The sequence below is a fragment of the Homo sapiens genome, chromosome 6 (assembly GCF_000001405.40).
Source record: "Homo sapiens chromosome 6, GRCh38.p14 Primary Assembly".
Classification (NCBI taxonomy): domain Eukaryota; kingdom Metazoa; phylum Chordata; class Mammalia; order Primates; family Hominidae; genus Homo; species Homo sapiens.
The window spans coordinates 117,285,244-117,301,361 of NC_000006.12; the positions used below are offsets into that span (position 1 = coordinate 117,285,244).

The 16,118-nt window shown below is 36.8% G+C and overlaps 1 protein-coding gene and 1 pseudogene across 11 annotated transcripts in view; one reads left to right on the forward strand and one right to left on the reverse strand.

The window, feature by feature from the left end:
• Window positions 2,110-16,118, reverse strand: part of ROS1 (ROS proto-oncogene 1, receptor tyrosine kinase) — a 138,590-nt gene continuing 124,581 nt past the window's right edge. For 10 of the 11 annotated variants that reach the window (XM_017011173.2, XM_017011172.2, NM_002944.3 and 7 more), the window contains 2 exons: window positions 15,731-15,894; window positions 2,110-3,559 (listed from right to left, as the gene is read on the reverse strand). In XM_017011173.2, coding sequence (XP_016866662.1) covers window positions 3,249-3,559; window positions 15,731-15,894 — 475 coding nt within the window. In that variant the 3' untranslated portion in view covers window positions 2,110-3,248. The remainder of the gene's footprint in view (window positions 3,560-15,730; window positions 15,895-16,118) is intronic. The other variant, XM_011536054.3, reaches the window with a different exon arrangement.
• Window positions 14,121-14,395, forward strand: RN7SKP18 (RN7SK pseudogene 18; annotated as a pseudogene).

Consider the following 16,118-nt stretch of genomic DNA (forward strand, 5'->3'; position numbering starts at 1 on the left):
TCCCAGCACTTTTGGGAGGCCACGGCAGGCAGATCACCTGAGGCTGGCATTTTGAGACCAGCCTGATCAACATGGAGAAACCCCATCTCTACTAAGAATACAAAATTGCCAGGCGTGGCAGTGGGCGCCTGTAATCCCAGCCACTCGGGAGGCTGAGACAGGAGAGAATCGCTTGAACCTGGGAGGCGGAGGTAGCAGTGAGCCAAGATCATGCCATTGCACTTCAGCCTGGGCAACAAGAACAAAACTCCGTCTCAAAAAAAAAAAAAAAAATCAATAAGATTTTGTTCTTATGCTAATTTTTTGTGAATAATATATTTAAACAAGAGCCGTTTTTAGCCACTGTCAATTTTTTCCTTTTGATTATAAGATCTATTTTTTCTAGAATTAACTTCCAATTGTAGTACTACAATTTCAGAATTAACCAACTAACTATACTTTATCAAATTATTTTTATCTATAATCCATTTTACACATGACATTTTTAGCCACTATTTTATTTTGAATTAAATATTTCTACCACTATTATTTATCTTGAATTATAAAAAATACTGCTAATTTGCACTTATTTCTTAGCTGAAACATGAAAGTTTTGTAGGCTGTTCCCCTCAGATATCCTATACATTCTCTATTGCCCAAATTGTAATGCAAATGTACTATACGGCAAATCTAATTCTTCTATACACTTCTGATGTCTTTTTGTATCTTCCAGAGTTAAAGGTCCATGCCACTGTCAGAGCAAAAACCTGACTGCAAGCAACAGAAACTGACTCTGGCTGGTTTAAAAGATAAGTGTTTATTAAAGGGATATGGGGATAACTCTCAGAACCTTGGAGAAGACTTGAGAGCAGACAGCAGAACGGGTCTAGCCTGGCTGCCCAAACTATCAGAGGCACCAGGCTCTAGACTAGCTCTGCTGACTCTCCTGGCCTTGGACTCTTGATGCCACCTCTAGCACCAGTGTCCCCTTTGTGCCAGGAGCCAGATTGATATGGGTTGGCTGTGTCCCCACCCAAATCTTATCTTGAATTGTAGCTGTCATAATCCCAATGTATGTGGGAGGGACCCAGTGGGAAGTAATTGAGTCATGGTGGATTTTCTCATGCTGTTCTTGTGATAGTGAGTAAGTCTCAGGAGATCTGCTGGTTTTATAAAGGGCAGTTCCCTTGCACATGCTCTCTTGCCTGCTGCCATGTAAGACATGCCTTTACTCCTCCTTCATCTTCCACCATGATTGTGAGGCCTCACCAGCCATGTGGAACTGTGATTCCATTAAATCTCTTTTTCTTTATAAATTACCCAGTCTCAGGTATTTCTTCATAGCAGTATGAAAATGGACTAACACACAGACTATTGCAGTTGGCACCATCACCAGAGAAGACTTCCCGTGGTCTCTGATTCTTTGCATCCCTAGGTCTCAATTAGAAGCCTGGCGCAGGTGGGTGGGTGGGTCTTAGTGGTGAGGGCTGGGTCACATGCCTGCCTTCTTACTGCAAGAGACACTGGGGGAGCGAATGGAACACAGTTCCCACCCAGATTATAAAGGCAGAGGAATTACCCAGCACAGGAAGGGGCTTCATATCATGGCATAACAAAAAGAATGGCAAATGCCCATTAGACGATGAGAAGATCAGAGACAAAATATCCTGCCTTATTCAGCAGAATATCAGATGTGGCAGAGTGACCACAAATCCTGGACCTTAACTTGGGGGCTGTTCACCATAGAACTAACACATTCACTTCTCTGTGTTCCTTGCCAATCATCTGTGCAGGCTCTCAGGTAGTAGGCAAATTAAAAGATTAACTAAACTATCCAAGGTGGAAGTGGATACATGATCTTCTTCCACAGCAGATTTTAGCAAATGCTATAATCAAAATGTTCTTCTCTATATCTAGCAAATTTCCTGAATACTGCAACTGAATAACACACAGAATGGCTTCACTGGTGTTGCTGTTAGAGCAATTGTGGCTTTAAGATTTAAATGGACAACTGCAAAATGTATATATTGGTTTTAAGTTAAGGTGTTTCTCTGAAGAGCTTTTTTATATAATAGTTCTCATTTAGGTATTTATTTTTTCATATGGTTGTTAAAAATCACACAGCTTGAATTAACATTGTATAATCATTTATATTTAATTTTAAGCATAATTTGATACAAAATGTAATCTTAAGTATTTTATACATAAAATAGATATGGCAAATAGCAATCTTTATACTAGTTAATTTCCATAATAGCACACAAGTCAGAGTGATTTTATACAACTGAAGATTACAGAATGCAAAACTTCAGGACTTAAAAGATCTTCACAGTCTTATTTTCAACATGACTGAATCTACTGTTGTAAGCCTCAAAACTACAAAATATTTTACAGTAGTGATTAAAGACAATATATATCGGCTAGGCATGGTGGCTCACACCTGTAATCCAGCACTTTGGGAGGCCAAGGCAGGTGGATCCCGAGGTCAGGAGTTCTAGACCAGCCTGGCCAATATGGTGAAACCTCATCTCTACTAAAAATACAAAAATTAGCCGGGCGTGGTGGCACACGCCTGTAATCCCAGCTACTTAGGAGGCTGAGGCACGAGAATTGCTTGAACCCAGGAGGTGGAGTTTGCAGTGCCGAGATCGTGCCATTGAACTCCAGCCTGGGCAACAGAGCAAGACTTCGTCTCAAAAAAAAAAAAAAAAAATTAAAAAAAGATAATATATATATCATTGCAGTAACAGCTTTCCAAGTGATTTCTCAAGTCACAGGTGCTGGTTTCTTCTGTATGTGTGAAATTATTTCTCATTTCCTTGGTCCCATTTGAGATTATCTGTAGTTCAGTTGACCCCCCTGAGCCTACTCCTTAGCCTCTTCTTTATATCGCTGAACACACCTATTCTGTCTCTAAACATGTGGCCAAGATATTTTTATTACAGCCCAAACTGAAAGGTGGGTAAGAGCCTAAAGCACCTCAAGGGAGAAGGGAGAGCAGTGTTTCCCTTCCAGACTTCTGAGTCTTCCTAAGCTTTCCACATGCTTAGTGTTCATCTCATAATTCTACTGAAAGTCAGGCAGCTGGTATGGGGATTGCTACAACTGAAACCAAATGGCTCTCAGAACCAAGATTAGAAATCAGGAACGTTGCATTGTTTATTTGGAGTTATAGACCACCATGACATTTATCATTCTAGCAGAGTTTTCTTTCAGTAACTACTGAATGAGAGTGTTTATCTCAACTCTCTATTTCCCAAACAACGCTATTAATCAGACCCATCTCCATATCCACTGTGAGTGAGACAGGCATAGTTCAGGCCTTCAGGCTTGCCAGAAGGGCAGTAAGCCACTTGTTTTTCTTGGCAGAAATCTTTGTCTGCATGTGGTTCCTTCTCTTCTTTCCTCAGACCACAAGATTCAGATTCCTGGGAGCCTAGAGGACCCTCAGACTTTTCTTCACCTTGGCCACATTCTGTAGCAAGTACCATATAGTTTAACCCTTCTCGGTTCTTCGTTTCCATTAAAGCAACTGGCATAATGTCATCTGAATTCAAACAAATCACATCGCCATCTTCACCTGTGAAAAAAATATGAATGTTATTCTAGCATGTATTTAATTATTTATTTGTAATAATATACAAGCTATATCAGAATTATAGCAACACCAACTTTACACATTTGTTCAGCAAACATTTATGAAGACTACTAAGTGTTGGGAATACAAAGACAAATAAAACATGCTTCTTGTCCTTGAGGCTGCTGCAGTCTAGCAGGGAAGCAGACCATATAGATCTGCTATATGTATATATATGTCACCTATAGAAGGTGACATGCACTTTAATAAAGGAATATTTTTAAATGTAGTAGGAGCACAGGGGTGATTAACTCTGCCTTAACAAGCGGAGCAAGTCGTGGTCTTTGTGATAGGACTTAATTGGCCCTTAGAGGGCCCTTTTTGTCTAAAGTATGTACTTTTTTATACTTCCACAGCAACTGAAATATCTAATTTTAAAGATTGGTTTTTCTAGATTTAGTAATTTTGCTAAATTAATTGCTTAATGTAATATTTACTGATGACTACTACATTCCAAGCCTGTGTTCTAGTTATTGATGGATATAGCAATGAATGAAAAACATTTCTACATTCAGCCCTGACACACATCCAGGTTTGATTTATTTTTAATGAACTTCAATTGAAATATGAGGAAAATACCATAATTTCAAAAGACTAAGGGAGGTACCAGTGTACCTATTTTTCCCAATAAAAATTTAATGGATCTACCTATTTATTAAGTTTAACACCTGAACTACAAAGCTTATTTTATAAGAACGTATGAACTACATCCCTTCTCCCCATATCATTAGGTATGCATCTCCTTTTTGCAGACCCTCCGAACTGCTGAAGAACAAGATAGCCAAGCTACAGGTTCACAGGCTCTTTGGTATCATCTAATTTTCCTCTTCATTGTTCAAACATCATTATAGCATATTTCAAAACACATGAATAGTTAGATGTGTTGTAAAATTATCTCCCTAATAGAAAGAACTTCATCAGATGCCAAGTTTGGTTAGTACCTGGGTGTTGAACACCTGTGGAAGGTATTCAACACCTGTGGAAGGTATTCAACTGTTATGATTATTGCCAATATGCACTAATAGTCATTAAGATGCCCATAAGAATAACTTGGTATATGTAATAATAGCAATGGAAAATATTTTTAAATGTTAGGAAAAAATAAGATATTTAACTTTAAGTAGTACAGTAATCCAATAATTGGGGAAATTAGGATGTTCTTAATAGGCTTAAAGAAATCAGTCTAAAGGAAAGTTTAGAATTTCAACAAAAACTTAAATCTACAATATAGTCTACCCACTCATATCAGCTATTTCATTGTCATACATTTAATCCATGAATGAGCATATTGGAAAACTTCCTACTAAAACATGATTTTAATTTTTTAAACTTTTTTGCTTATTGAATTTTCTGAAAAATAATATTTTATATGAGGCAAATAAATTCTTTTTGCAAATTCTGTTGTTATGTGTCAAAGAAAAATCATTAGCTAACTACTTTATTGGTTTATAGTACTTGTAGCAATATTTAGTAACTTGACCCTGGCAAGCTTTCAGCAATTAGTACATCTTCTTGTTGCAAAAAGAGCTTACAAGAGACTGCGATAGTAGAGATAGGTTGTCTTATTTGTTTGCTTTTGTTTAAAAATTATTTAATAAGTAGTCTATGGGTCAGATCTTAAGGCAGATATCCTCAACAAAGATAGCATGCACTGGGCAACCTCTTTAAGAGAGAAATATTAAAATAAAGACTTCCAAGTAAGACGGGGTATTTACAGACTAGACATATGCCGGCTGACTGGCTATGTTTAGAACAGCAGAGGAGCATTTAGATTTGTTTCCTGTAGAACTCTCTGGGACTGATGAGGTGATGTTTACACAAATGTTTGGATGAAGTCACTGGGATATTTTTACTAGATGCCCAGATATGTTACTAATCTTCTCTCTCTATCCCCTTTCCACCCCATTAGGTCAGTAGGACCACAGGATAGGCATGGTATTATTGCTCCCTGTTTTTCTAAGCACCCCCACTTCTTTGCTTTAAAAAGTCCTTTCAATAGCTTTTCTTCTCTACGTACATATCTCCAACAACAACAATGAAGACAGTCATTTTATTGCTTTGCTAAATATGCCCACCAGTCTGCAAAGCAGTAAGCTATTATTAAACACATTATTTTTTATTGAAAAAATAATTAAGTTTAGGTTTGCCTTGAAAGGTCTGTTGCACTATTTCTATCCTTTGCAGATATGCAAACTCCGCCTTTAATTCAGTTTTTTCTCTCTTCCCTGCCTTTCTTGCTCAGTCACAAACTCAATTATCAATTTAGTGATTTCCACATCTCTTTTCATTCCTTATCTTCAGGATTTACATTCATTGTAAATAACAGAACAGCAATTTCTCTTTTCCTAAAATTTTATTTCTGTCATGGCCCAGAAATGCTTGTTTCTTTCTAAATTGTTATAGTTTGATGATATTCCCTGTTAAATTCTTCCTGCATCATTACTTTGAATATTTGTCTGCTTCTCTATTGTTGGGAATATTACTTAGAATTTTAATTCTTTCTGCCAACAACTTGGTACCTAAATAGATTTGGTATAACCAGAAAAAAATGGTGTATATTTTCTAGCAGGTCATAAGTAATCATTGCTTTCATTATACCTAGCTGTGCAGTACACTATTGGTAACATAACTGGGGATATTGTTTGGGCCATTTCCCTACTACAGCCAGGGATTTGTGAAGGCTGAGAGGAAAGGCTCAACAATGGAGACAAACTCTAGCCCTATTTCAGCAGTATGATTATGAGCAAGTCACTAAACCTCAGTTTTCTCATCTGTAAAATGGTGATATAGTAATATCCGCTTCATAAGGCTGTTATAAAGATTTAATGAGTTAACCTACATAGCACAGTGAGTGGCACATGGAAAAGTACTAAAATAAAATTAGCTACTATTCTAATTAAAAGCCTTTCACAGAGGTATTTTACTCTTTATATTGAGTGTGAGCATTGTTTCTTACCTATCTCTGCCTCATAGATGAACTATGCAATGCAAAATGGTGAAAAGATTTTCTCAAGGGTCCGTGGAGACTTCAAGTAGAACCTAAGGTGAAGCTAAGCTCTCAGGCCTGCTAACACCCATTATGGCAACCTCTGTGACATTTTTTTTTTCTTTTCATTTCTTTTTTTTTTGAGATGGAGTCTCACTCTGTCGCCCAGGCTGGAGTGCAGTGGTGCGATCTCGGCTCACTGCAAGCTCTGCCTCCCAGGTTCACGCCATTCTCCTACCTCAGCCTCTCTAGTAGTTGGGAATACAGGCGCCCACCACCATGCCCAGCTAATTTTTTCTATTTTTTAGTAGAGACGCGGTTTCACCATGTTAGCCAGGATGGTCTCGATCTTCTGACCTTGTGATCTGCCCGCCTTGGCCTCCCAAAGTGCTGGGATTACAGGTATGAGCCACAGCGCCTGGCCCTCTGTGACTTTTATAATGTATCTTTGCACATTAGAAGGAAAGGATTCCATGAGCAAAGAGTTGAATTTTAGAATACAAGTCAACTGCAAAATCTGTGCAACCCTCTGGATTGCTTTACCTCTCTGCAGCATTTGTTCACTCTTTCCTTTCTAAGCCTCTCTCCTCTGGATTTCCATAACAACACTCCCTATGGCTTTCCTCTTCCCTTTCTGGCTGCTCCTCCCCATGTCCACCATCTTTGTAAGCCCCTCCTATACCGGCTGCTCTCTGGGTTCCACCCACTTGTCACTCTCTTCTTATTTCATACACTCTACTTTAATGACCTAGTCTGCACCCTGGACTTCAACCATCTATATTTACAGGACAGACCTTTCAACTGAGTATGAACCCATATCTTGACTGTGTCCTGGACTTCTCCGCTTAGATATGCCAAGCCAACTCAAACCAAACATATGCAAAACTGTTCCTCTTCCTATGTTCCTCATCTCCAGGAATAGCGTTGATTTTTACCAACTTTCTCCTTTCTCTTTTTTACGCACTTAGTTGCCAAGTCCGATAGCATCTACCTCTGTGGTAACTCCGGACTCTTTTTTGTTCTCTCTACACCTGTTACCATTCATTAATTCAGCTTTCATTACTTTTCATTCCTTACTTTTGATTAGTGTGACCAATAACCCTCCAATTTTATCACTTGCCACATTCTCATGTATAATAAACAAAGTGCAGTTCTATGAATACCTCATTCTCTATTATTCCCTGCCTTTCTACATGCTGCTTCTTCTATCCTGAAATACATAGGATACCTCAGCTTCTCTTTTTCATACCTAAGCTTCTAAGTAGGTCTCAGCTTAGATGTAACCTCCTCCCAATGGTTTTTCTTGACTCTCCCTCTGCCATAGTGTAGACTTGGCATCCTTCCTCTGGACTCCCACAGAACATGGATTTCTTCTCAATAACAACATAGAATGCTCATTTCCTGGATTCTGGCAGAAGATGTAATACAAAATCATCTTCTCACCAAATCCTTAAAAATAAGCTTATTTGTAAGAAAAAAATGCTGGAGAACCTACTACAGAATCTACAGCCCATGAATTCCTTTAGATTACCTAAATTTAGTATCTGAATCCAGATAGTATATATACAAACATACATAAATGAGCATTTCTGTAAATGGCTATATATGCACATACAATATCTGCAAATATATAACCAAATTGTTAGCTCTGGCTAGCACTGGGGAGTGAGATAAGGATGAATTAGGAAACTTTTACTTTTTAGACTGCTTAAGTAATTTTATATTTTTTATAATAAACATAAATTACTTTTACAATAAAGATCTTTAAAATGTAGATACAATTATAAAATAATACAGCAAGAACAGTTACTGAGATTACTGGAAAAGTTACAAGAAAAATAGAAAGGAATCAGAAGTCATTTTTATGGTTGTAAAATAACATAAAAATTGTTTTTAAACTTTTAAGAAGGTCATGATTGTGTTAATTAATAAAGTCTATAAAATTATAGTCACAAAGAATTTGAGCCTTATCTGTCAAAAAATTTGAGCCTTATTTGTTGCTTTTAATGATAAGAGCACGCTAATATCCCTGATGAACACAGATGCAAAAATTCTCAACAAAATACTGGCAAGCCAAACCCAAGAGCACATGAAAAAGATAGCACACTATGATCAAGTAAGATTTATCCCAGGTATGCAAGGATAGTTCAACAAATGTGTATATGTTGAAGACACATGATACATTACATCAACAGACTGAAAGACAAAAACCATATGATCATATCAGCAGAGGCAGAAAAGGCATTTGACAAGATTTAGCATTCTTTCATAATAAAAGCTCTCAAAAAATTAGGCATGGAAGGAACATATCTCAAAATAATAGAGGTTATATATGACAAATCCATAGCCAACATTGTACTAAATGGAGGAAAGTTGAAAACATTTTCTCTAATAACTAGAACAAGACAAGGATGGCCATTTTCACCACTCTTATTCAACATAGTACTGTAAGTCCTAGCCAGAGCAACCAGGCAGGGGAAAGAAAATAAAAAGGCATCTCATAAAAGGCATTCACAGATAATATTATCTTATATCTAGAAAAACCTAAAGATTCCACAAAATGTGTCTTCAACATATACACATATGTTGAACTATCCTTGCATCCCAGGGATAAATCTTACTTGATCATAGTATACTATCTTTTTCATGTGTTCTTGGATTTGGCTTGCCAGTATTTTGTTGAGAACTTTTGCATCTGTGTTCATCAGGGATATTAGCGTGCTCTTATCATTGAAACTCTGAGATTTGATAAATAAATTCAGTAAAGTTTCAGGATACAAAATTAATGTACAAAAATTCAGTGCATTTCTATATACCAAAAATAATCTAGCTGATAATTAAATCAAGAAGGCAATGCCATTTACAAGAGCCACATAAAGAATGAAACACCTAGGAATATATTAACCAAGGAGATGAAAATTCTCTACAAGGGAAACTACAAAACACTGATGAAAGAAATTGTAGGAGGCACAAACAAATGGAAAAATATTCCATGCTCAAGGATTGGAAGAATCAATATTGTTAAAATGGCCATACTGCCCAAAGTTGTCTACAAATTCAATGCAATCCCTATCAAAATACCAATGACATTCTTCACAGAAATAGAAAAAAATCTGAAAATTTATATAGAACCACAAAAGACTCGGAATAGCCAAAGCTATCCTAAGCAAAAGGAACAAAACTCAAAGAATCACATTACTGGATTCAAATTATACTACAGACCTATAGTAACCAAAACAGCATAGTGCTGGCATAAAAACTCACACATAGATCAAAGGTACATATACAGAATGGAATACATAAAAAAGAACAGAATAAAGAACACAGAAATAAATTCACACACCTACAGTGAATTCATGTTTTACAAAGATGCCAAGAACATCTACTGGGGAAAAGACAGTCTCTTCAATAAATGCTGCTGTGAAAACTGGATATCCATATGTAGAAGAATAAAACTAGACCCCTATCTCTCTACATATACAAAAATCAAATAAAAATGGATTGAAGATTTAAATCTAAGACTTCAAACCATGAAACTACTACAAGAAAATACTGGGGAAAATCTCCAGGACATTGGTTGGGGCAAAAATTTCTTGAGCAACACCCCACAAGCACAGGCAGTCAAAGCAAAAATGGACAAATGGGATCACATCAAATTTAAAAAGCTTCTTCACAGCAAAGGAAACAATCAACAAAGTGAAGGGACAATCCACAGAATGGAAGAAAATATTTGCAAACTACCCATCTGACAAGGGGTTAATAACCAGAATACATAGGGAGCTCAAATAACTCGATAGGAAAAAAGCTAATAGTCTGATCAAAAAATGGGCAAAAGATTTGAATAGACATTTCTAATAAAAAGAAATACAAATGGCAAACAGACATGTGAAAAAGTGCTCAACATCATTGATCATCACAGAAATGCAAACCAAAACTACATTGAGATATCATCTCAGTCAAGTTAAAATGGCTTACATTGAAAAGACAGGCAAGACAAATGCTAGCAAGGATGTGGAGAAAGAGAATCCTCATACACTGTTGGTGGGAATGTAAATTAGTACAACCACTAAGAAGAACAGTTTGGAGGTTCCTCAAACAACTGAAAATAGATCTGCCATTTGATTCAGCAATCCCACTGCTGTACATATGCCCAAAAGAAAGGAAATCAGTACATCAAAGAGATATCTGCACTCCTATGTTTATTGCAGTACTGTTTACAATAGCTAAGATTTGGAAGCAACCTAAGTGTCCATCTGTAGATAAATGGATAGGCCAGGCTCAGTTGCTCACGCCTGTAATCCCAGCACTTTGGGAGGCAGAGGTAGGCGGATCACTTGAGGTCAGGAATTCTAGACCAGCCTGGCCAACATGGTGAAACCCAGTCTCTACTAAAAAAAATACAAAAATTAGCCAGGCGTGGTGGCACGTGCCTGTAGTCCCAGCTACTCGGAATGCCGAGGCATAAGAATCGCTTGAAACTGAAAGGGGGAGGTTGCAGTGAGCCGAGATCATGCCATTGCTTTCTGGTCTGAGGGACAGAGTGAGACTGTCTCAAAAAAAAAAATAGACAAATGGATAAAGAAAATGTGGTATATGCATATAGTACAGTGGAGTACTATTCAGCTATAAAAAGAATGAGATCCTGTCATTTCCAAGAATATGTATGGAACTGGAGATCATTATGTTAAGTGAAATAAGCCAGGCACAGAAAGATAAATATCTCATGTTCTCATTTCTTTGTGAAATATAAAAATCAAAACGATTGAACCCATGGAGACAGAGAGTAGAAGGATGGTTACCAGAAACTGGGAAGGGTAGTAAGGGACAGGGTGGGGGAGTTGGGGATGGTTATTGGGTACAAAAAAGAGAAAGAATGAATAAGACTAAATATTTGATAGCACAATAGGGTAACTATAGTCAATAATAATTTAATTGTACATTTTAAAATAACTATAAGTAAAAAATTGGTTTGTAACACAAAGGATAAATGCTTGAGGGGTGGATACTCCATTCTCCATGATGTGATTATTACACATTACATGCCTGTATCAAAACATCTCATGTACCCTGTAAATATAGACATCTACTATGTACCCACAAAAATTAAAAATAAATTTAAAAAATAATACTACAAGGCTATAGTAATCAAACAGTATGGTACTGGTATAAAAATAAACATATAGTTTAATGGAACAGAATCCAGAATCCAGAAATAAAGCCACATATTTATAGCCAACTGATCTTTTGCAAAGTCAACAAGAACACATACTGGGGAGAAAAACACCCCTTTCAATAAATGGTGCTGGGGAAATTGGATATATGCAGAAGAATGAAACTGGACCCTTACCCTCACCATATACAAAAATTAACTCAAAGATGGATTAAAGACTTACATGTAATAAATGAAACTGTGAAAATACTAGAAGAAAGCCTAAGGAAAACTCTTCTGGATATTGATCTAGGCAAATAATTCATGACTTAGACACTGAAAGCACAGGCAACATGAACAAAAATAGACAAATGTGACTTAATTAAGCTAAAAAGCTTGTGCAGAAAAAGAAATAATCAGTGGAATAAACAGACAATCTGCAGAATGGGAGAAAATATTTGCAAAGTATTCACTCAACAGGGGTCTAATATCCAGAATATACAAGGAATTCAAACACTCAACAACAACAAACAAGCAAATAATCCCATTAAAAAGTGAGCAAAGGATGTGAATAGATGTTTTATCAAAAGAAGACATACAACTGACCAACAGGTATATGGAAAAATGCCCAAAATCCCTAATCATCGGCGAAATGCAAATTAAAATAATAATAAGATATCATCCTCCCCGAGTCAGAATGGCCATTACTAAAAAGTCAAAAATAATAGATGTTGGCGAGGATGCAGACAAAGAGGAACAGTTACATGCTGTTGGTGGGAATGTAAATTAATACAACTTTTACGGAAAACAGTATGGAGATTTCTCAAAAAGCTAAAAATATGATCTAGCAATCAATCCAGCAATTCCATTACTAGGTATCTATCCAAAGGAAAAGAAATCATTATATCAAAAACATACTTACACTCATATGTTTATCACAGTACTACTCATAATAGCAAAGGTATGAGATCAACCTAGTATCTATCTATGGATGACTGGATAATGAAAATGTGTTATAGACAATGAAATACTATTCAGCCACTAAAAAGGAATGAAATCATGTATTTTGTAGCAACATGGATGAAACTGGAGGCAATTATCTTAAATGAAACAAGACAAACACAGAAAGAAATATCACATGTTCTCACTCATCAGTAGGATTGAAACAATGTGTACACATAGACTAGAGTATGAAATGATAGACAATGAAAACTTGAAAGGGTAAGGGTGTGGGAGAGTGAATAAGAAATTACTTAATGGGTACAAGGTACAATATTCAGGTGATAGATACCCTAAAAGCCCTGACTTCATTACTAAACAATCTTGTACTCCATAAATTTATTTTAAAAAAAAGAGGAGTGATATAGTTAAGAAAATGTGCTTTCAGTGCCAAGCAAGCAAAACCATGTTTTGCCTGTCTTTCAGATATGTCTATATTCAATTCAACCCAGTTACTGATGTTTTTCTATCTTAGGAACAAAAGATTTAATTTTATGTATTGGCAAACCGCTCTGCATGATTGTTCCTCTAAAGTTTCCATATGTGAAGTTATGACAAATAAGAACCAGGCCATGCTGGAGCAGATTAAAATGGCTTGAGCAAAACATTATTATTAAATAGTGAACTGGTGACACCAATATTTCCTATGGATATAGATGTAGTCTTATGACAAGGACAACTTTCAGTATCACCAGTTAAAGCTAGTTTACTACTAAACTTGGCAAACAAAATTAAAGAAACTGATTCTAGCTTCCAAGAGAAAGAAATACTCTCACCTCTTGTTTTTCTTTAAAGCAGACAAATGGAAGACATTAAATACAGGTGCTTACACTATGCCTTGCCCCCAGATCAGTAAGTGTTGAAATAATTTTTTTAATTATCAAAATTTTATTCAGAGAAATGTCTCATTAAGTAAATGCTTAGAAAATGACAAGGCCTTAATAGTACCTAGAATGGCTTAAGGGTATGTTTGCCTAATCCTATGTGATCTTCACATAGGCAAGTATATATATAGAGAGCCCCCCAAAAGGATGGAGTTGCTGTGCCAGTTATAATTCCCAAGTGTTCTGCCATTGGCATTCTAAGAATCAGCTCTGTCCAGGATGATAGTGAGTAGAAACAATGTGAGACTATTAACAAGGTTTACTCTAATGAGGGTTATGACGCATGGCCAAGGCATGTGCAGCCCTTTCCAATCTGTCGCTTGGCAGTTTGTGTTGAAGAAGTTACATGATCAGAGTTTTATGCTCATATAATGGATCCAAAGTCACCCAAAATATGTAGTAAGACGCATAGACAAGTAGATGTCTGTCCATGGGCTTCTTGTTTTTATCTGCTATTAGTCAAGTGCATCACTCAAGGTGAAGGTCTCATGTGAGGGTGATCTCACTTCAACATCTGCCACCCACTGATCACCAGGGTTGATTCAGCTGATGTCTGGCTATGCGGGTGTCCCCTTTCTCCACTGTTCCACGTGTAGCCCTCCTCAAGTTGAAAACTTGGTTGAAGAGTATGACCTTCCCTGATAGGAAAGGACCATTCTTTAATAAAGGTGTGCAAGTAGCTCTGCAAGCTCTCAAGGTAAAGGTGTCTCCTGCACTGCCAGTCTTATAGTCAATCACTGCAAATAGCAAGAAGCCTAATTTCTGCGAGATTCTAAGTTGCGATCCATCTTGCCAGTTTCGTTTGTAAGCAAGGACGTCTGCATTTAAATAAACAAAGGGCCTTGCAAACTTTTAATAACAAGAAGTTCTAGATAAGCTGAAGGAGAAATATTTTAAATTCATTTTTCTGCAGCCAATTAGGCATACATAACAGTAAATGTGACTTTAGAAATGAATTAAGTGACTACTGTATTTTAAGTCTCTTTACATTTAAGTAAAAGGCTTAGTCTGTCCATTATAGTAGAATGGTTCCAGAATATTATTATCTTTTTTTTTTTTTTTTGAGATGGAGTCTCACCCTGTCGCCCAGGCTGGAGTGCAGTGGCACGATCTCGGCTCACTGCAAGCTCCACCTCCCGGGTTCATGCCATTCTCCTGCCTCAGCCTCCCGAGTAGCTGGAACTACAGGCGCCCGCCACCAGGACAGGCTTTTTTTTTTTTTTTTTTTTTTTTTTTGTATTTTTTTTGTATTTTTAGTAGAGATGGGGTTTCACTGTGTTAGCCAGGATGCTCTTGATCTCCTGACCTCATGATCCGCCCGCCTCGGCCTCCCAAACTGCTGGGATTACAGGCGTGAGCCACCGCACCCGGCACAGAATATTATTAACTTAATCACCAAATACTGAAGTCATAGAATCAGACTAGATCTTAGCAAGACCTGATCCACTACAATAATCATAGCAAAATTACTCATCAGAAGCAAAGGATTAGATATATACATAGCAACATGGACAGACCTTAAAAATACAGTGCTTAATGAAAACAGAAAGAAAAATGCATTCATTCATTAAAAAAATACACATTTTGCAGGAAAACATACAAATGAAAAGATACACACTAAAGACGTTAGAATAGTTGCCTGACAGGGAGGGAGGAAGTTGAAGAGGAGAGGAATATGGGGATAAAATGGCTAAACAAACAAACAAGACAGGAGCCCTGCATAGGCCAATGATGATAATGTACCGTAAGCAAAGAGTCTATAATTAACTCTGTACTTGAGGTCCAAACTGGTGTGTGGGGGGAGAAGAGAAGGAGAACAGACCTTATGAAAATGTAGTCTAACATGTTAATTCTCCTCCTTACTGTCATAGATTATAAATCCAGGGGCCATAGAACTATCCTTTATTTTTTCAATTTAGTGCATAATACAAATAATTTTCAAAGAGGAATGCAATAAACACTTAATTATGATGACAAAGGTGCCAGTATATTATTCTTTTTGCCTACCCCAAAATGCTTTCTGTGTACATTCCATTTTAACTTTGTTCAGTTCACAGTGCAGCGAAAACTAGAAAATTCTGAAGAATCAAACTTACCTTCAAAGCTTTCATTTATGACTCCACTGTTGTTTGCTTCATCTCTGGACTTATAAATGCTATTTAAGAAAAAATTTCTGAATAACTGAAGTTGGTCCTGAATTCTATGAAAAGTAGGTCTTTGGTCGGGTTCTTGAGCCCAGCACTGGGTCATTAAATTCCACCTAAATATATGGGGAAAGATGGGAAAGTAAATAGCAATTGGATATAATTACTGATAACCCAGGTAGGGTCATTTTAGAAAGGAAAGAATCTGAGTTATTGCCAGTTTTCCTTAATTAATATAAGTGAATCAAAACAAAGGCTTTGATTTCTTATTTAAGAGTGGCTTTTAACATTACTACGTTTATTAGATAACACCTTTCTTTTGAAAAGCTGACATTATTTT